The following is a 21,998-nucleotide window of genomic DNA, read 5'->3' on the forward strand; positions in this document are numbered from 1 at the left end:
CTCTCCCCTCTCTCCTCCCTCTTTGTGCCTGCATATTCTGGCCAATAATGCACCAGTGATTTTTCTCTGTTATTTCATTTATGGCAATGACTTCAGGTCTTGTGTCTGGTCATAATGGTGATCTATGTATGCCATCTACACTGGGCATGGCTAATGAATCCTATTTTATTTCTTAATTAAGAATTTGAAAGTGCCGCAAATTACTGCAATTAATATGGATTTTCTTCCTCATTTATTTACTTATTTAGATGCCTGAAATTGCACCCTTAGCTTAAACCAACCGCAGAGTTCAGAGCTTGTTAAAATATATAGCATTCATTAAAATATTTACTCTTCCCCAACAGTAAGGGTTGCAATTTGGAAATGGTGGTGGTATCTATGTATACAAAATGCTTCCAAAAAATCTATTGAATTCAGTTTATCCAGCTTAGTAATTTAAAAAGTTGAATTTATTGACAATCCTTTGTGCAACTGAAAAAAAACAGGATTTTCAAACTAGCCTATTGTTATGTTGACTTCAACCAGAGAAATTGTTGTTTTCCCTTTCAAAGTTCGTGAAGACTATGAGTATCACCACATTTTCAGGACTTCTGTGTCCATTGAAAGATAAGAATAACAATTTGAGGGTGGTTGAATTTATCAGACTTATTTCAAAACAATGGTACTTTGAAAATTGTTTAGCTTCAAATTTATCTCATAGTTTTCAAGATTCAACCTTAGTTTTCTTTCCTGGGTTCTTGTTTGGGGCTTTTCTTGTTTGGGGCTTTGGTTTCGGTTTCTAACTGGTTTTCATGGAGACAACTCAAGATAAAGTAGTTGAAATTAACCTGAACTACAGCCAGCAGGACTGTAAATGAATACAATCCTAACAGAAAGTGATTGGGGAATAACATACCAAAAGCTTTAAAAAAATGCATACCCATTGAAAGCCAGCTATTTTACTTCAAGGAATTTATCCTTAGGAAAGAAGAACGTGTACCAATGTTTAAGTACAATAATATTCATTGCAGCCCTGTTTATAATAGCAAAACAAAATAACCAAAATGTGCAGCAACAAAAGATTGAGTAAATTATGGTACAGACATATTAACATATGAAGCAGCTATTAAAAATTATGTGATTTGTATCAGTTATCTATGGCTGTTTTACACCAAAACTTAGTAGCTTAGAACAACAAATTTATTATCTCACAGTTTCTGAGGGTCTGGAATCTGGGCTTGGCTTAACTCCATCCTCTGACTCAGATCTCTCACAAGGCTACAATGAAGGTATTTGATGGAGCTACAATCACCTCAAGGCTTAACATGGAGAGGATTCACTCTCAAGTTCACTCAAGTGATTGTTGGCAGGATTCAGCTCCTCCTGGGCTGGTCTCCCTTAGCTCCTTGACACACGGGCATTTCTGTAGGGCAGACAGTTGATGACATGGCAGTTGGCTCCATGGCAGAAAGCAAGCCAGAGAATAAGAGAGCATGAGCAAGAAGATAGAGTCTTCTTGTAACCTAATCTTGGAAATGATATCCCAACACTGTGATATTCAATTGGTTGGATGTAAGTCAGAAGTTCAGCCCACACTCAAATGGAGTGATCACACAGTTATACAATGGTGAGAACACAAGGGGGTGGGGATCAAAGGGAATCATCTTAGAATGTGTCCACCACAGAGTTGAAGTTTATTTACTGGCAAAGGATATTCATTAATATCTTATTCAATGAAAGAAAAGGTCACAAAACAGCAAGGACAATAGGATCCCTGTTTTGTAAACTAAGACCGATAGAAAATATATTTGCATGTATACATAAATATTCATGAAACACTCTTTAAGTGTTCCTGGGTTAACAGTAGTTGTATCTAGATGGTGGAATAACAGATGAGTTTTATGTCCTGTTTCCTTATTTTTTTCTTTTTTTTCTGTAAAAGGAACATGTATTGTTTATAATTTTTAAAAGAGTAAATATTATTACCTTTTCAAGAAGCGATTTAAACCCTCAAGGCTTCTTTATTCTGACCTCCATTCTCTTTACAGGATTGTTTCTTGCTTACTACTTGTGGTCAACTAAGTAGAGATTCATAAGACCTTTATAGAACCACTGACAACACTGTGACCAAGGAAACTGTGAGTATGTTCTAGAACTTGCTTCTGTGTTTGTGTCTTCAAAACAGCTGCTATCACCAATAATTAAACCATAAAAAACCGAAATTATTTTTCCCTCTGGGGTGATTACAACCACACGGGAGCTGTGATGAGAGGTGAGTCCTGTGAAGATCTCCTCCTTGAGTCTTCCCCACTCCATTCTGGTTGCTTCCAGACAAGTGGTAACAATAATCACATGCTCATCTCCTCTGAAAAATTTAAAAGGGATAGGTTCTATTTATATGTCAAAAATAGATGAACAGATCTGACACTGCTGAACATAATTGCAAATTTGAAAAAAGGAGAGGGAATGGGTGAGAGAAAAGATAAAGCCATTAATAGCCTCCATACTTCATTAGTTTTCCTTCCTCATGCCACCAGGGAGGCCTGAGTTGGGGTGCCACTGATTTGGGGTTGGAATGATTTCCTAGCAATATAAAGTTTATCTTAAGGTCACTTGCTGATAAAAACTACTGTTTTGCCAGGCATCGATTTATTGGTTGTTTGACAAGCAGACCAGCTGTTCTATACTTATATTAAGCACAAAGAAAGCTGCTCAAGATGGATGCGCTGGCATCAGTGGGGGAGGAGGGTAATAGCCTCAAAGATGGCAGAGGATTAGGATTAGGTCTGAAATACTGGTGGATCTCTTTTCATTGGGATCTATAATAGAATAGCTGTTGTAACAGATAACATTCAAACTTTGATGGCTTAATAAAATGGATCACATTTCACTCATATAATAGCCAAAAGAGTTTTTGTCCAAATAATGGTTCAGAAACCCACCTGCCAATTGTCTGTGTTTTCTCCATCTTCTAGGGACTCTGAGTTGTATGTTAGGTCCTCTGTATCTAGCTGGGTTGATTGGGAAGGAGAAAATGAAGATGACACCCCCACTTCCTACCCAACTTGGCCTAAAATTGGCACACATCACTTTCATTCATACCTCACTGGTGAAAACTAATCATATGGGCCTCTCCTTGATGAAAGAGGCCTTGAGGTAGTCTCTGGCTAGTAGTTACTTCCCCACAATTCCACCATGCAGAAGGGTAGCACACACTGTGAGTGCTGTCAGGAAAGATCATAGCATTAGAACCTTCTTGCTGAGGAAACTTTTACTGGCATTCATATATATCTCACAGAGCAGGGATTAGTTAACTTATCAATGACTCTTTGAATGGTCAATTGTTCTTCCCTATATGGAGGAACTTCTAATGCCAGCTATATCCCCTTCTCATGGTTAAGGCAATAAGCCACTGGCAACAAGGTCCTAAAGATTCTAGGTTTCAAGGTTGTTCTCCACTGGAAGTGGTAGGTGTGCCTGCCAGTGCTGGAAGTCAGCAGAACTCACTGGGGTTTCAAGATACTAGCTTTCAAACTAACTCACTGTCTCTCTCTCTCTCTCTGCTTTAGCTTTTTGTTTGTTGACTGGTTGGTTGGTTTTTCTTTTTTTGAGTGTGCGTGTGTGTAATGACAGTAATAAGATATACCTCTTAGGGTTGTAAAGTCCCAAGGAGATAATTCAAGAAAGAGCACAATACACATTATCTCAACACATGGGTGGCTTTTCCAGCAAGTAGCCACATATATAAATAATTCCAGAAGTACCTTACCAACACTACCACAATTGCTGTTTCTTGTAATATCATTGTTATTAATAGGCTGCTATTATAATGATTAGCACTACTGCCAAAGATAAAATCATAACATCTCTTGTGTAGTGCTTTAGCATTTATTTATTTGATTCTCATGACAACCTTGTATAGTGAAAAGGAGATTCGCTATGATCATATCTATTTTATAGATGAAAGAACTGACCCTCAAGGAGACCAAGGGATAATGACCATGATGATCACATGATAGCCCAGTCAAACTGGCCACTTGGTTCTCAAACCCTGGCCTTTTAAGTCAAAATTGTATTACTACACTAAATGTAAAATGGCATCTTACCAAAATAAATGGAATCTTTGAAGAGACTTAGTCTCAATTCCTCATTGTTCAAATGAGTTGGGATATCTAGGAAAATTATTCTTTTTTATTCCACTACATGCTACTGACCTCAGGTCATCTTACTTTTTTCAAGGCTGGTCAGCCTAATTGCACCTGGGTTGGTGAGGAGGAGCAAATAGTATTAATGTTGGTGATTTCAGTTTATAGAGGCCATAATGTAGAGGGTTCTTGGAAATTTCTCCAAGGAATGTGAGTGGGGCCCCAAGAGGGAAGAAAATGGGTGCCCTCCAGTTTGGTATGTTTGGAAACAACACTGTGTGGCCAGCATCACAAACCCTAGTAGGCAGGTGACAGTCTGAAATCCACTTCTTGGTTTCTTATAGTTTTTTCTTCCCTTCAACTCTTTGGTCTTTTCCTAGCTAACTTTAGTGAATAATTTTCCAGTGACTTTTTTTTTTGTTACTGAGTGCAAAAAGAACTGTTACAGTGGCTCTAGGTTTGCAGTGTAAAGTCTTTGGAGACTGTGTTTGACCCTGTGTTGGGTGACTCCAACTGCCAGGAGCAATGAGCTATAGTCAACCTAGACCTCAACACGGAGACCAGCCCCCGGCCCCAGACCTGCTGTTGGCTGCTGTGATGACACAAGTTTAATTTAGACTCCAAGGAAGCCATGTTTTTCTCATCTGTCAAATCAAGTGGATGATGTTCACCCTCTCTACTTCCCCTACTTTCTTAGGGAAATACTGAGAACTTGAGGCTCAAATCAGTGAGTAGACAGAAAGTGCTTTGAAAAGCATACCATCTAGATAAGTGTGGAAGAAAGTCATCATTAGAATTCTGCTACTGCCATTATTGTTTTGGGGTCAGCTCAGCTTTTCTTAACACAGAGCAGTTAATGGCAACTGTATTAGATACCCACTGGGAGGGCAAAGGAGCCAGACAAGGGTCTCCTTTTATCCCATTTTAGCATCCTGTTTTCCTTTCACAACAGCTGTGTCTTGCGGGTTTATAAGTATTTTAATTACAGTGGCATTTTATTATACATTCTCCTGACAAAATTCAGGCTAGGGACTTTTTTTTTTTTAATCTGAAAAGTGGTGGATTTTCCTAGAGGCTGAGTTAACTTTAACCAGCAGTCAGAACACTGCTACCTTTGATCCCACTTAAAAGCATGGTAACTACCATTTTTCACAAATTATTTTCAGCATAACCAAAAAATAAAAATGTATTTGCAGGTCCACTAGCAAAAAGCAAAATGACAAAATCTATTAGCCATCTAGCTTTGTTTAATAAATTGGTCACCAGCTGAGAAGCATTTTTCCCATGGCCATAAGGAGTTACAGAATAGAAAATTTAGAAATCAACATAAAGACAGACCAGAAGAGTTAGACAAAGAAAAAGAGTATCTCACTCCTCATCCTGTTGTATGGCCATTCTGTTGCTTCCTGCAGCATCTCAAATAGGTTTTCCCAGAATAATCATCAAAAAGACAAGTAAACTCTGCCTTGCTAGAATAAAAAGATAAATGTTGCAAAGTAGGTAATCCATATAGTTAGAATGAAAAAATGTCAGGTTGAAAAAGGCTTTGGAGCATGTAGTCTAAAATTGTCGTTTTACAGGTGAGAAAATTAAGGCTCAGACCAGTGAAGGGCATGTCCAAGATCATGCAAAAGAGCAAGTATTAAGATGACTCCTAAGGGACTGTATCAGTTTCCCATTGCTGCTATAATTAATTATTGCAAACTTTAGTGGCTTAAAGCAACACAAATTCATTGTTTTACATACAGTTCTGTAGGTCAGAGGTCTGACAAGGGTCACACTGGACTAAAATCAAGGTACCAGCAGTGCTGGGCTCCTTTCTGGAGACTCTGAAAAGAATCTATTTCCTTGCCCTTTCCAGCTTCTAGAGGTTGCCTGCATTCCTTGGCTGATGGCTCCTTCCTCCATCTTCAAAGGCAGCAACATTGCATCTCCCTGACCATTCTTCTGTAGTCCATCTCTGGCCACAGCCAAGAAAGGTTTTCCACTTTTAAGGGCTCATATGATTAGGCTGGATCCACCTGAATGATGCAGAATAATCTCCCTATCTTGAGTTCAATGACTTTTAATTACATCCGCAAAGTCCCTCTTGACATATAAGGCAACACATTCGCAAGTTCCTGGGGATTAGGGCACAGGCATCTTTGAGTAGAGATGGGCATTATTCTGCCTACCATGGGGAGGAAAGATGGTGAGTCAGTAGAGAGTTGGTTGGTTGAGCAAGGAAATAGTTGTGGATACCTGTTGCAGGTTGGGGTCCCCAAGCATCAAACTCTGAGATGAAGGTGTGTGTGTTGGAAGTAAGAGGGCTTTCGGGATCAGCCACTGCAGAGGAGTGGAATTAAAAGAGGCAGAATAGGCAGAGGGAGGAGCTGGACTTTGGGCTCATCACAAGGTCCAGCTGACCCCTTGGGGATACCTAAAATGGGATGGCCTCTCAGAGTTATCAAGAGGGGCTGAGACTTTAAACTCTTTCTCTGATTGCTATGACCACATCAAGCAGTCACAGGATACGGGCTGCCCTGTGTATGTGTGTTGGGGAGAATTGCTGGTGTAACTAAGTCAGCTTTCTTCTCCGAGGTCAACTCCCAATAGCTAGGGTAATATGTCCTTCATTCATGAAAGATGATTTAAGCAAATAATCACAGCTACTTCTAGAATACCTGTACCTAAGCTTCACTTTTACATGTGAAAAAAATAAAAGGTCAGCTGTGGTCTGGAATTAAACCTGATTACAAAGTGGTCCTAGACTCAGAACTTAGGAATCAGAAGGAAAATAGTCATGTGTTTCATCTATAGTGTAAGGAGAAATGAGGTATGGCCTTGAAGGAGAGTGGACTCTTTGAGGATGTATGAACATGAGAGCAAGAGCAGGCAGGGATAACGTGAGCATGGCAGAATGATGAGATTGGGTTGGATATGGTGTGGACCCCAGAGGAAAAAAACAAGCAGATTGTAAGTTCTGGGGACTAAGATCCAAACCAACATCCAAATCCAGGGTTCTGCCCAAACAACAGCAAAGAAGTGGCATTGGCAGAGGCTGAGGGCAGGGCAGGGCAGGACAGGTAGTCCTGATATTGGCTTAGAAGGATTCCAGCAACTTTCAGCAGGTACTGGTGGTCAAAAGAGTAGAGTTCATGGTCAGCCATGGAAGTGGCTAAAGAACAGGTCAGAAATCTTATTTCAACAGAACTGAGGAAAGGGTAAGAACTTAGTGGGGAAAAGGGCATTCTGTGTTACAGTAAGCAGGTGGACTACAGCTTTGGGTCATCTGGCCCATGAATGTCATTGGCTCAAGCCCAAGTCTGATCCTGGTGCAGGAAATGAAGATGCTCTGGTCACCTGAGTAGCAAGGGTTAAAAACATTTAAGGGGCTGGGAAGGCAAAACCATCTGCTCACTCCAGGGGAAGTGCTCTCACATTACATCAGGGCTGACCTCAATGTTCAATCTAACTGAATGGTATCCACACTCAGCAAGGAAGGTACAAAGACTGATTTGTTCCCACCCTTTAGTCCCCACGTTCTCACTCCCTCGGGTCAGTGGTGAGCCAGCACTGCATAAGGATAGTTCTTCCTGTTTGTCCAGATGGACAAGACGAACTCCCCAGCTACCTCCACTTTTCCACACATCCAGGCTGCAAAGCCTAAAGGACATATTATTTTTGAAAAAGATTTCCTGCATCTTCTAGAAGACTGTGAAGACATTGCACTGGGCCAACCATACTTGTAGACAAAAATGGTTTTGATTATCCTACATGGTTCGATTCAAGTGGTGAGAAACATCATTGCCTTTCTGTAAGTCCTTTCTGCATGCATATGTCAGCAAGAACATTCATAATAATGGCTCATGATTCTTATAGGGCTTCACATTTTATGTAACAGTTAACCTATACTAAATCTCTTGAATTTCACAATGCTACTTATAATCCCAGCACTTTGAGAGGCTGAGGCCAGCAGATCATTTGAGGTGAGGAGTTCAAGACCAGCCTGGCCAACATAGGGAAAACCTGTCTCTACTAAAAATACAAAAACTATCTAGGTGTGGTGGTGTGCTCCTGTGGTCTCAGCTACTTGGGAGGCCGAGGCATGAGAATTGCTTGAATCCAGGAGACAGACATTGCAGTGAGCCGAGATCGTACCACTGCACTCCCGCCTGGTCAACAGAGCAAGACTCTGTCTCAAAAACAAAAACAAAAACACAATACTACTTGGGGGAGAGAATTTTTAATATTCTTCTTAAAGGTGAAGAAATTGAGATTCAAAGAGTTTAAGTGCCTTACATTAAGTCACAAAGAGAGAATCCAAAATGGGACCCAGGGCATATAAATCCCAGCTGTCCCCAGCCCATCAACATAATAATTCTACCCTGAACAGAAGACCTTCGCATCTCACTGGAAGATGCAAAACACTGGAAGTTTGACAGAAAGGAGTGTCACAAAGTGTAGAAAAAACTGGGGGAGAAATAATCTGAATTTCACATTTTGTCTCAGATCACATAGAGATTATTGTTTTTAACTCTTTAACTTGGTGTTTTGAACTGTTCAAAGCATCTCTCATCTTTATCTCATTTCATCAGCTCAGCAATCCTGTGATATAGGCAAAGCAGACCTGACAGGTGAGGAAACTGAAACCCAGAGAGATTAGGGGACTTGCACAAGAATAGACGGGCATTTGGTGGCAGATTCAAGGCTGGAAACTAGATCTTTGAGGGCAGTAGCCTTCAGAATAGGAATGAGATGGGAGAGAAGTATGTGTCGAATGAGGTAGGAGGGAAGCATTTTATTAAAAGATTAATCAAAATTCATTTGAAAGCCAAAGGGCCAAGAACAGTCCAAAGAAATTTGAAAAAGACTGACTATGAAGAAGATGAATTTACACTGTAGACATCAAAGCACAGGAAAAAAATTGTGCAAGAGAAGTATAGGGATAGAGAGACCAGTGGAATAAACTAGAAAGTCTAGAAAGAGACCCAGGCATTTTGGAAAACTGGTACATGATGGGGTGATTACAACTAAGTGGGGAAGGAATAGACTGTTTGATACATAGTGTCACAGAAATTGGCTCTTCATATTGGAAAATTAACATTAGAGCTCAATTTCATATGCAAAATAACACAAAATATTGCAAATAAATTCCAGATGGATTAAAAGTTAAAGTAAAAAATTATCTTTTAAACTATTCAAAGAATATTCAGGAAGATAGTTTAATAATATCTGATTAAGAAAAAATTTTAAGAACACAAAAGTAATGAAAAAGATCAATAAATTTGACTATGTTAAAATTTAAGACCAAGTTTATAGTCTTGTAGGAACAAAGTCACCATAAACAAAGCTAAAAGACAGGTGAGAGATTTGGAGGAGAAGTTTGCAATGCATGTGACCTAAAAAGGGTTAATCTCCAAAAATGTGTGTATATGGGATAGGGAGTCAGATGGGGACAACAATAAGTAAAAGACAAACAGCCCAACAGAAAAACAAAATATTAAAGCAGGCAGTTCACAGAAATGGAAATCAAAATGGCCTATAAAAATATGAAAAGATGGCCTACCTCACTGATAATCAGGGAAATGCCCATTAAAAAGCAAATAGATAGCATTTCACACCTATTCAACTGTCAAAAATTGAAAGGTTCAGCAATGCCAAGTTTTTATGGGAAATGGGCACTGCCATCCTAGAGGAAGTCCAAATTGTTTTTATCTCTTTAGAGGGCAATTTAGAAATACCTTGTAAAAGTAAGGATATACATACCCTATGACAACTAGTTTTATGTCTAAATATAATCCCTAGAAAAACTCTTACTCCGGTGTGTAATAGGACAGGTAAGAGGATGTTTATTATTGCATTATTTACAATATTGAAAATTGGAAAACAATTTAAATGTTCATCAATAGAGCAATGGGAAAACACTGTACAGGCACAGCAGTGAGTTCCCGTGAGCTAGATGCAGGCATCAAGAAGGATGATCTTGAAAAAATCCAAGGTCTGTGTAAAAAATCAAACCACATTAATATACCATTTACACACATATTTAAAACATATAAAACAATGTTATCAATCACGTATGGATTCAGACATATGCATAATAGAAGCATAAAAACACAGAATGCATGCAAGTTCAAGAGAATGCCTTTTTGGAAGAAGGAGTAGAATAGGCTCACAGAAAGGATAAAAAGGGTGCGATAGTACCTATAGTGTTTTATTTCTTTAATTACAAATAAAAGTAAAAATAAATCAGAGAAATATTAGCATAATAATATTCTGGGCAGTGGATATTGAGTGTTTAATATAGTAAACAATTCAGAAAAGGGAAAAGGAAAAAGCTCCTCACCAGCAGCCTCACCTTCCTCTGGTGGAAATGAGAAGGCAGTGGGGAGCAGGAGGCTACAGGAGAGCAGAGCTGACAGCTTTGAAAATTACTTGGCTGTGGATGTCTGCTCATGCACACACACACACCAAGATAGTTCTGCACATGATAGTAGTGGGGTCATTTGTGGAAAGAGCACTGCTGAGCAAGGTCACCAAGGACCACTGGGGTCCCAGCCAGCACCAGCTCTGCCAGGGCATTCCAGAGCTAGGAATGGGGTTTAGAACACCAAATGGTTAAATATGGTAGGAACATGTTTCTCTCAATTTAAAGGAAGTCCAGAAGTACGCAGTACGGGGCTAGGATGGTGGCTCTGCCACATCCCCAGGACTCAATCTCTTTCTACCTTTCTGTTCTGCCATTCCTAGTCACAGGGGTTCCATCTCCAAAGTGACCTTAAGATCTGAGGTGACCACTGCAACTCCAAGCCATCCTGGTAAGACACAAGAAGAAGTGAAGATGGGGAGGGCAAAATGGTCCCTATTGGCTGACTGTACCTCTCTAAAACTTCTTTCCTGGAGGCCCTTAACTTGCATGGACATTTTTGGATCATCCCTAATGCCAAGGGAGGCTAGGAAATTGTATTAGTTTGTTTTCACACTTCTATAAAGACATACTTGAGACTGCGTAGTTTATAAACAAAGGAGGTTTAATTGACTCACAGTTCTGCACGGCGGGTGAGACCTCAGGAAACTTACAATCATGGTGGAAGGGGAAGCAGGTATGCTGTACATGGCAGCAAGTGAGAGAGAGTGTGTGTAAGTGCAGGGAAAACTACCATTTATAAAACCATCAGATCTCATGAGAATTCACTATCACGAAAACAGCATGGAAGAAACTGCCCCCATAATCCAATCACTTCCCTCAGTCCACATGTAGTGATTACAGTTCAGGATTAGATTTGGGTGGGTCACAGAGCCAAGCCATATCAGAAATGTTTTCTTTAATTCAATCAGCAATGTGCCTAGCTAAAAAGTTGGGATTACTATTGCTAAGGAAAAAGGGGGAATGGCTAGCTGGTTCGCAGCTAATAATGGCTACCAGAGTTGGTGACTAATTCTGTGCCCACAGACAAGGGCTTTCTTCCTCTGAACATTGCTTTCCTGTCCATGCAAAAAAGAGGATAGATGAGGTGCTGCTTTCCTCAATAGAGCCAATCATCTTTTCTCACCTTGTTCATTGCTTCAAACTTTAGTCAAACTTCAACTTGAGACAATTATCTTGAAGCCCTTGTCTACTCGCTCTCTTTCCCTTACTGCAGGGATTTGGGTCTTTGAAACTTTTTCGCCCTGCATAGTTTTGGTTCTATATCTATGTTCCACACTCACCTCTCTTTGGGAATTACAACTTCTCTTCCAGGTTCACCAACTGCTAGAAACACCCAGATTTTAACTTTCCAACTCACTTCTTCCAAGAAGCTCCCCCTGGTATATGGCCACCTCCTCTGAGACCACTTCATCCCACTGTCCATTGTCAAGAGCATGTCTTTCACTCAGAGAATCAAAACTTTTGTTGAAGACAGACCTTACACCATCTGGCCTAATGATTTGCAACTTGTTTTTCAGAGCCCTTTCTGCAAGTAAAAACATATGTGAAACCCCAACATGATGGATAAAATGAATAAAATGTAGAATGGGATGGGGCAGAGGAGCCCCAAGTCACTTCAGAACATAGTTAGAAAAGATAATATCTTGCCCTCATTTTATGAATAAAGACATTGCTGCCCAAAGATAGAATTCAATTGTTCATGGTATATAGCTCATAATAGCAACACCTATAATAACAACAGCATTATCTAATACTAACCCACTGTGTGAAATACTGGTGTGAGTGTTTTATGTATATTAATTACTTTGTGATAATCCAAAGTTGCATAGGTAGTCAAGGAAAGAGCCAGGATTTGAACGAGGCACTCTGACTCGAGAGACTGTGCCAGAAATCACTATTCAATAAGCATTTTAGCCACATGGCTGGAATAATTCTAGTCCTCTAACTCCTAGGCCAAAATTACCTTCTATGATTTGCTTTATACTAGTTTTTTAGTTATGGATTCTGGACATGTTTCTTTAAGTGTTGTTCTGTGACTCATATTTATTTTTTCACTGCATACATTAGGCATTTAATGAACACTTTTGATAAAATATTTGAATTCAGTGGGTAAGGAACAACTGCTTTTCACTTGAAACTTTGGTGAGATTTGACTTGGCTCACAAAGGCCACTGCATAAAGGCTAAATAGAAACATCAAGCCACATCCTTAATCACCTAAATGGAAGACTACATTCCTGCCAAATCATGTCTGCAAAGAGGAAAGGCAAGCATCTTGGACAATGTTCTGTGCATAGTCATCTTTTAAGTCAAGTCCTGGCAGGGTAGAAAGTGGTTGTACCTTGTTAGCGTTCTGTACTTCTTTCTCCAGAGTGGCGGTATAGGAAGGGTGATCTGGAGACCAGGAAGGCAAGAATTGGGTGACCATTTGCAAAGCCCAATTTTTCCATGTCCACCTTTCTATCTGGACAGTTGAATTCTACAGGAGAAATCACAAATTCCCCAAATTAGTGCCTACTGTACATTCATGGTCCCTTCCTCAACTCAGGCTATCCTTCATCATGTCCATAGTCACTCATCATCAACCCTGACAAGAAACAAGAAGTGCCGCTTCTTCTCTGTTATCAGCAACACCATCCACCCTTGTGATCAAGCCAAAACTTGGTAGTCATCTTTTATTTTTTTCTCACTCTGTCACCCAGGCTGGAGTACAGTGTTGCAATCTCGGCTCACTGCAACCTCCACCTCCTGGGTTCAAGTGATTCTCCTGCCTCAGCCTCCCAAGTAGCTGGGATCACAGGCACATGCCACCATGCCCAGAAAAAAAATTTTTTTTTTTTAAATAGCGACAGGGTCTCACCATGTTGGCCAGGCTTGTCTCAAACTCCTGACCTCAGGTTGATCTGCCTGCCTCAGTCTCCCAAAGCGCTGGGATTACAGGTGTGAGCCACTGTGCCCGGCCTGGTAGTCATCTTTGACTCCTCTTTCTCCCTCCACACCATCATTGAGACAGTCACTATGCCCTGCTATTCCTATCTCCTTCACCTCTCTTCAGTCTGTCCACTCCCCTCTGTTAGTCTACACTTTGTTTCGAGACAGCACCTTCCAGCCCGTTCTTGGTCTAAGGAAGCCAGAGCTTTTTAAAACAGAATCGGGTCATCACACACACACACATACACACACACACACACACACACACATCCTTTCTTAATGGATCTCCATAATATAAGCTTTGGGATAGAGTCAAAACTCATAAAATAGAAAGCCAGGTTGTTCAGTGTCTGGCCACTGCTTTCCTCCCAGCTTCATATTTCCTCACTTGGATCCTAGATTCCCCTAAATTGTGGATCTCTGCATACGCTGCATCCTGTCTGACTCTCTCTCTCGTCCCTACCTCTCGGTCAATACTTGGCAAATGCATGAGTGAATTTGGATGCAGGAGGAGAAGAAAGAAAAGACAGACAGAGGAAGGAGGGATAAAAGTAACAATAATAACAACCACAAAAAACTTGGACATGTGGATGGAGGAAGAAAGTTTGTCCAAAGTAGAAAAATAGGAAATAAAAACAAAACAAAATCAAACAAGAAACAAACAAAATACAATGGCCGGGGCCTCAAAGCATTGTTTATAAGATCCTGGTGGCATATTTCTATTTTAAATTAAACTCTAGGGCATAAACTTCACTTGACTGGTCCCTAGTCAGCACTGTAGACCTCAAAATGCCACCCAGCCACCCGGTGATCCTACAAAGCAAGGTGAGGGGTTGAAGCCTTGAGGACAGATCAGAGGAGTGGTGATTAAATCCAAGACTGAGTCTTGCTTCAACCTTGGGATTATATCAATGTACATTTCTATGAGACAGTGTCCTCTTGCCTTCTTACTGAAGCAAGTCATTGCCTATGTTAGCCCCCTTCTTCCCTGGACCTCTCTATGACACCCTGGGAAAGGTATACTTATTGATAACTTGGCTCCATTTCTCGAGGGATTTAGGTCACTTAATATGTAATGGCCCTTAAGAGAAGCCAGTTAAATTTGGGGCTGAACTGGTAAAATATTAGTATCTGCAACGTAGCAGCCCAGAGCACAGAGAAAAGAGTGGAAAGAACACGGAACGCCTATGTCATGAGACCAAGTGCTGCTATCCCAGCACCTTGGCAAGCGCCAACTCCCAGGTCTGACCTGCTTGCTGAAAGTTTGAAGACCACCCAAAGGCACTTTAGCAATTCATGTGAGCAAAGGCCTCATGAAGCTCCGTGTGGCAACACCAGTTTCCTGGGGCCAATGCTTCATGCCTATTAATGTGATAATCTGTTTTCAAACCAGACAGTTGAAGTGAGAAAGAAGAATGAGCAGAGATGATTCCCATTACCAAGGGCAACTTGATCCCTAATAGTAGCGGCAAATGTGAACAAACTCAATTCTTAACATACTTAATTTCATTCAGTGCTCACAACCCTCCTATGAAAGAAGTATCATCTTTATTATACAAAAGAGTGTGAAATTCAGAGAAGTAACATTTCCAAGTGTGATGGTTAATATTAGGTTTCAACTTGATTGGACTGAAAGATGCCTGGATAGCTGGTAAAATATTGTTCCTTGGTGTGTCTGTGAGGATGTTGCCAGAGGAGATTGACATTTGAGTCAGTGGACCGGGAGAGGAAGACCCACTGTCAGTGTGGGTGGGCACCATCCAATTGGCTGCCAGGGTAGCTAGAACAAAGCAGGCAGAAGAAGGTGGGATAACCTTGGCTGGGTGCAGTGGCTCACGCCTGTAATCCCAACACTTTAGGAAGCTGAGGCAGGCACTTGAGGTCAGGAGTTCGAGGCCAGCCTGGCAAACATGGTGAAACCCCATCTCTAGCAAAAATACAAAACCCCATCTCTAGCAAAAATTAGCCAGGCATGGTGGCAGGTGCCTGTAAACCCAGCTACTGCAGAGGCTGAGGCAGGAGAACTGCTTGAACCCAGGAGGTAGAGGTTGCAGTGAGCCAAGATTGCACCACTGCACTACAGCCTAGGCAACAAGAGCAAGACTCCGTCTCAAAAAAAAATGGAAGGTGAGATAACTGCTTGCTGGGCCTTCTGGCTGCCTTCTTTCTCCCATGCTGGAGACTTCTTCCTGCTCCTTCCACCCTTGGACATTAGACTCCAGGTTCTTTGGCTTATGGACTCTGGAACTTGCACTAGTGGCTTGCCAGAGGCTCTCAGGCCTTTGGCCACAGACTGAAGTCTGCACTGTCAGTTTCCCTGGATTGAGGCTTTCTGACTCAGACTGAGCCACTACCAGCTTCTCTCTTCCCCAGCTTGCAGACAGCCTATTGTGGGACTTTGCCTTGTAATAGTGTGAAGCCCATTCTCTCTAATAAACTCCCATATATATGGGAGTGTGTATATGTGTATATATACACACACACATACTAGCTGATGACAGAGGCAGAAAGTGATTGCTGGATTTCTTGGTTCCCAATTTGGCTCTTTCCTCACTATACCCTACTGCTTCCTGGACTCTTGCAAGCATGAACCTGATAGCCACAGTCATTCAACAGTTAATTCAACAACCGTGTATTGATCCCCTTCCAGGCATCAGGCACTGTGTTAGGCCAGTGAGGATACAACAGGTTCAAAACAGAAAACGTTTCTTATCCTGTGTGGGGGTCATATTCAACTGAAGAGATAGACATACAATCTTTCAGGCAGAGGGCAATACACCCTATGTCCTATGCAAAATAATAAAACAAAGCAAGGGAAACAGAGAGCAGTGGGGCAAGAGAATAGGTTTTGTTTTTCAAGGGTGGCCAGACAAGGCCTCTCTGTTGACACCTGGCTTTGAGCTTTCCAACGAAATCCATTTCCAGCTTTGATGTATGCCCTGCTGGTACCCACAGTGCAGCAGCGGGCTGACAATGAGCACATTAGAGACAAAGAACAACCAGTAGGCATGGTGTTCCCATTGAGAAGGGAGGATTCAAAAGTAAGCCCCAAATATGCCACATCCTGCCATGGGGCAGTTTCACAAGTAGAATGGGGTGGTCACTAACTAGCTTGGCAAGCAGAGAGGATTTTTTGGTGACGGATCTGTCCCCAGCGAAAATGGCCCAATGACTCAGGAGCTTAAGGAAGCTGTCCGTGCAATCTGATTCTGCCTATGAATGCCTTCTGAATACCTTCTATCAGAAATATAATAGCTGGAGAACTGCAGGAGGAGAGCAAGGGGAAAGCCTTTAGACAAGCTTCAAGATCTCATTGAAAATGTTTCCTTCATAGACTTAGGAGGTTATGTTTCTGGGAAAGCCACTAAAAGTAAAATAAGAGGAAGATTCTGTTCATGCCTTAGAAACAACATGGAAGTCCATTCCTGTCCAAGGACCAGAAAAAAAAACTTTAAAAATAGAAAGTGACAAATATAATCTATTTCATAACTATAATGCAATATATCTGTACATTGTGTAGTGCAAGTTTTTAAAAAAGATTTAGCAATCAAATAAATCAACAACAAAGAAAACAATTTCCCAGCTACATACTTCCCGGGAACACATTTCTGTATTTTACTACTGAAATCACCCTCAGAAGAGTTCTGTGAGGCTGAGAGCTCAAGGAGAAGCACCTGACAGGGTCAGTGCCTGAAGCTGGGAAATAAGGATGCAAAACAGACAGGGAAGGGCAGCGAGAAGCTGCCAGACGCCCAGAGCCAAGAAGTTTTGTGCCCAGGGTGACAGGAAGCAGCCTGGTTGAATGGTGTCACTTGCCGTTTGCTGCAACACCATAAGTTCTACGGTAGATGAAATTGGCAGGAATCATGCAAGAAGCTCACACTCCCTCTGTATCTTCACCTCTCCCTCCCATCTCCACTCCTGTTCCTGGAGACTGTCAGATCTGCTCTGAAGTTAACCTCCATCTCAGCTCAGGATTCATCTCCTCCTGTCTCCTAATTAGGCTCCTTCTCCCTCAGCTGGTCTCTCCCTTTCAATTAGTCTTCCTCCCATTTTAAGGGAAAGAAAAAAAGAGAGAGAGAACTTTCCTTGGTCCTGCTTTCCCCTCCAAGCTGGCATTCCATCTCTCCACTTTGCTTAATTGCCAGGTTGTAAAGAAAGGTTTCTGCACTCACTGTCTCTCCTTCCTACTCTCCACCTTCTTTAACACCCACAGTCAGCTTTCTGTTCCCACAGCTCCACAGAAACTTCTCTAACTGCTGAATGTGTCAACTTGTTTAAGCCTTTAGCCTCTGCAGTTTTGTCACTGTAACCATTACTTGGACCCAGCCCCTTAAAACTTTCACCTCATTTGGCCTGCATGACTCTGTCCCCTTGGTCTTCTCTAAAGCCTTCTCATTTTCTTCCCAGTCCCAAACACCACCACCACCACCTTCATTTTTCACTGGTGGAGAAGAGACGAGAATCACCAGACTCACTGGTTGTTTTGGGGTCACACACTCCTTTGAGACTCTGATGGCAATGTTAGAGTCTCCCCAAAATGTCATTTTATTGATACATATTCACATACACACATATGTATATACATGTGTAAACATTATCTCAAAAGGTCCCTAAATTAAGAAGAGCCTCTGTCACAGAAAATAGCTGTTTTTACAAAATGTAACTATGATGTCATGTGGCTGATCCACACTACACTTAAACCATACATTTCTGGTGAGTGCTCGACATTCAGAGGTGCTATAATAGAATAAAACATTTTATCAGGAGGCTGATCCCAGGATTCTCATCCAGTTTTCACACCTTAAAGGCTGTATGATCTTGGGCAATTCACCTCTCTAAACCAAAGTTATCTCCTCTATAAAAATGGGTATTATAATTTCTTCTTTGCCTTGCGGGATTGTTGTAAAGATTAAATAAGATCAGGAATTTGAAATACTTTGCAAACTTCTAAGTATTACAGAAATGATCACTGTCAAAATCATTGATCAATATCCTTGGAGCTGCAGTGTGTTGGGGAAGAGGGGCCAGGAGGGTGTCAACATTGGGTTTTAATCCCATCTTGGGCACCACATTGTGATTTGACCTGGGTCCATGTCCCAGTTTGTAGACTGGAGATGATCATAGGTATCTTAGCTACCTCATAGAGCTAGTCTGAGTATCAAATGAAATAATGAATGTGGAGGGACTTTGCAACTCAGCAAGACCAGGGCGCCTGCCATTTCTCATCCTCTTCTTTGTCTCTCTCCACGTGCATTAATTGAACTCTGTGAGCCAAACAGAGTGAGCCTGCTCTGACAAGAGTCTCACTATGCCTGACGATAGAGCATTCCTACAAAATAACTCTAGAGTCAAATTAGACTCCAGTGAGTTAATCATGGATAATATAATTATAAGAAGCCGCAAATAAATTGGTAATAATTGGCTACTTATTGTTTTTTAAAAGGGGGCATGGAGAGAAAGAATACAGTGTACAAGAAAGATTATCCTTTGTAGAAATAATCACTCCTCCTGATCACTTGGCCTATATTGGAACCCACCCCAAGGAGTGCTGCTTTCTCTCTGGCATGCTGGGTTGCTATAAAATACTTTCTTGAAATCCTTGACTTGAAATCCTGCCCTTAGGCCGGGCGCGGTGGCTCACGCCTGTAATCCCAGCACTTTGGGAGGCCGAGGCGGGCGGATCACGAGGTCAGGAGATCGAGACCATCCTGGCTAACACGGTGAAACCCCGTCTCTACTAAAAATACAAAAAATTAGCGGGGCGTGGTAGCGGGCGCCTGTAGTCCCAGCTACTCGGGAGGCTGAGGCAGGAGAATGGCGTGAACCCGGGAGGCGGAGCTTGCAGTGAGCCGAGATCGCGCCACTGCACTCCAGCCTGGGCGACAGAGCGAGACTCCGTCTCAAAAAAAAAAAAAAAAAAAAGAAATCCTGCCCTTATCCTGACGCATGAGTGTGTTAGTAATCTCTAGCAGGTTTCCAGTTCCTCAAGAAAGAGCATGGTGGTCAGAACTGTTGCACATTCCTTGTTCCCAGCCCCTTCTTTACTTCACTGCACCCAGCCAAGACTCAGAATATAAAGGTCAGGGGCAAATGCAAACAGACCAGCAAAGTTAAAGTGGATCCGTCTCTACCTTTTCACCAGGTTCTATCTGGTTTCGGGAAGAGGTGGGATTTTCACAGCACTATGAGAAGGAAGGGATCAGCTATTGTCTTGTGAGAACAAGCCTGGTCACTGTCAGATAAGATAACATAGCAAGAAGTATTTCTCAAAAGGACCTCCTTTGCAGGGGTGAGGAAAGACAAGGGTCTGGGGCTCCACATACAAGGGCAGGAAGAGAGGAAACGGGAGAGAAGCTAACATTACTGAGCTAAGGACATTACCTATATTATTTCATTCAGTTCACTCAACAGTGACCTCTAGTATGTGTGTATTGTCCCGTTTTACCAGCAAAGAACCTGAGGATCAAAAAGGCTATAACTTGCCCAAGATCACACAGAGAATAATGAACAGAGAAGCCTCCAAATGCCAGACTATTTTGACTCTGGCAAACTGGCTCGCCAAAGGTGAGGATAGCCAGGAAAAGAGAGTGACTCTCTGCTTATGTCCTGTCCATCAACACTCCCCTTATAAGGGACCTGTGATTATGATGAGGGCCACAAACTATGAGTAAGTCAGGACCAACCTGAGACTTGAATCGTCCACTTACCAGCTTTGTGGACTGAGTCCTTAAAACATATTAATAAAGTGAACATAATATTATCTCTCTGGAAAATGTGTAAGTTGCTATGTAGTTCCAGCACAATGCTTTTTGTATAAATGCTTCGTCTCCCACCTGCATTAGGCTGCATTGCCATGTAGAGAAGTGTCATTGTCTCTGTTGAACAGGGTGCAGGTGAAGGACATGTCCCTGGCAAAGATGCAGAAGAGCAAGGGCCATAGAGTTGCCGGGACACTGGGCAAGGATAAAGTTAGCTTTAGAGTACCCAGAACACAGTCAAGGTCCGATAATGAATTACCCAGTCAGAGCAGGACTGGAAGTGACAAGGGATTCCTGAAAGGTTTCTCAACACTTTCCCCGGATCAGAGTGGTCCCAGAGTCTTGGGCAGAGCTACATCTTCCCATGGTGGGGCAAGTGACTTCCGCTCTGGGGAAAAAATCACTCATGAAGGAGGAAGCCCACAAGTCTTGGCTAGAGCAAGAACATCATGGGACATGAGCTCCAACCCTGATTTCTTCCTCTTATCCTTGGATGTGATATCCTGGTTTTATGGCTCTTGAGAAAAGTATAAGCTCCTAGAGGTAATGGATTCTATAGTAAATGTTATTGGATTTTTCACAGGGCTTAGAGGAGCATAGAACTCAAATAAGTGGTCCCTAAAGGCAGGATTCCGTGGCATCTGTCTGTGAGTTCCCATAGTTAACTTTTCCCATAGTGACTTTAGTGTGGGGCAGAAGATGCTGGAAGACTTGTGAAACAGGCAGATTCCCAAATTCCACCCTGAGAGATACAGATATGGGAAGATTAGGGGTGGGGTTGTTAAACTCACTAGTTGTTTCCAATGCAGTTGATTCTTGGGGGGAAATCTTTGAGAAACTCTCGATAGTCTATTGTTTCACATATCATCTTGAACTAAAGTTAATTGTTTAGAGATTAAGCTGCCTCCATGAGAACATAAGCTCCTCCAGGGCAGGGTCTGTGCCATCTCATCCCGGTAACCCAGAGCCTAGCAGATCACCTGGCATGCTGTAGGTGTTTGGTTGGACTCAACAGACCTGGAAGACCATAAAATGCATCTTATTCCCATAGGAACAGTTCCATGTCTAGGATTTGTGTTGTGGACAAGGGTCACTATATCCTCATATATCATAAACATGGGCAACAATATTGCACCATGAGATGCTAGAGTGATCAAGCTGAAAAGTACCCTAATTCATTCTTTAACATTCATAAAGCAAAGGAACAGCTCCGGACCTCTGCAATCACTGGGAATAGTAAGATTATGCTCCAAGAAACATTCTGTGACAGCGCATCTAGTCAATGTAATAAAGTTTACCTTACAGTCACTTTGTAGATAGGAGAACTGAAACATAAATAAGTTAACTGACACATTCAATGTTGCATCATGAATCAGCACCAGACCCAGAATTCAGACCCAGGATCCTGGATTTTCTAGGTGGTGCTTCTTCCAAACCACAAGATTCTGATAAGGACCTATGTGTCCTATGTGTCCTATTTCTGGTTTTTTTTTTTTAAGGAATGATCAATAAAATATTTTCTTTTGTAATGCTTCTACTGCTTGCAACAGGGAAATTTATCACAAGAAGAAGGCATCATTTTAAAGTTCCATGGGCAGCTCTTTCCAGAGATGTGGTCCATGGAAAGTCTTGCCCAGAGACCCTTGGAATTCTAAGAAGGAAATAAAGTGAGAGTTAATTAAATGTGTAATTAATGTTGATTGTGGCAAGCATGCTTCTTTTAGGTCAGATTGATGCTGCAGGGGAGTGATAGTATTTTTGATTGTTGTGT

General features: G+C 41.7%; 1 protein-coding gene and 1 long non-coding RNA gene across 8 annotated transcripts in view; one reads left to right on the forward strand and one right to left on the reverse strand.

Annotated features, from left to right (window-relative positions):
* The window catches only part of SLC14A2 (solute carrier family 14 member 2), a 515,726-nt gene that overhangs the window by 313,243 nt on the left and 180,485 nt on the right, over nt 1-21,998 (forward strand). For all 5 annotated transcript variants that reach the window (NM_001371319.1, XM_024451270.2, XM_017026016.3 and 2 more), the window contains one exon: nt 2,028-2,117. The gene's annotated coding sequence lies outside the window, so the exon portion shown is untranslated. The remainder of the gene's footprint in view (nt 1-2,027; nt 2,118-21,998) is intronic.
* Nucleotides 1-21,998, reverse strand: part of SLC14A2-AS1 (SLC14A2 antisense RNA 1) — a 142,177-nt gene that overhangs the window by 116,319 nt on the left and 3,860 nt on the right. For 2 of the 3 annotated variants that reach the window (XR_007066350.1, XR_007066351.1), the window contains exons 2-7: nt 12,877-13,014; nt 10,835-10,921; nt 3,082-3,203; nt 2,922-2,990; nt 1,966-2,344; nt 1,192-1,402 (exon numbers count right to left, since the gene is read on the reverse strand). This is a non-coding gene — a long non-coding RNA (SLC14A2 antisense RNA 1). Of the gene's footprint in view, nt 1-1,191; nt 1,403-1,965; nt 2,345-2,921; nt 10,922-12,876; nt 13,015-21,998 lie in introns of all 3 variants that reach the window. The other variant, XR_007066352.1, reaches the window with a different exon arrangement.

Source organism: Homo sapiens, chromosome 18 (genome assembly GCF_000001405.40).
Source record: "Homo sapiens chromosome 18, GRCh38.p14 Primary Assembly".
NCBI classification, from domain to species: domain Eukaryota; kingdom Metazoa; phylum Chordata; class Mammalia; order Primates; family Hominidae; genus Homo; species Homo sapiens.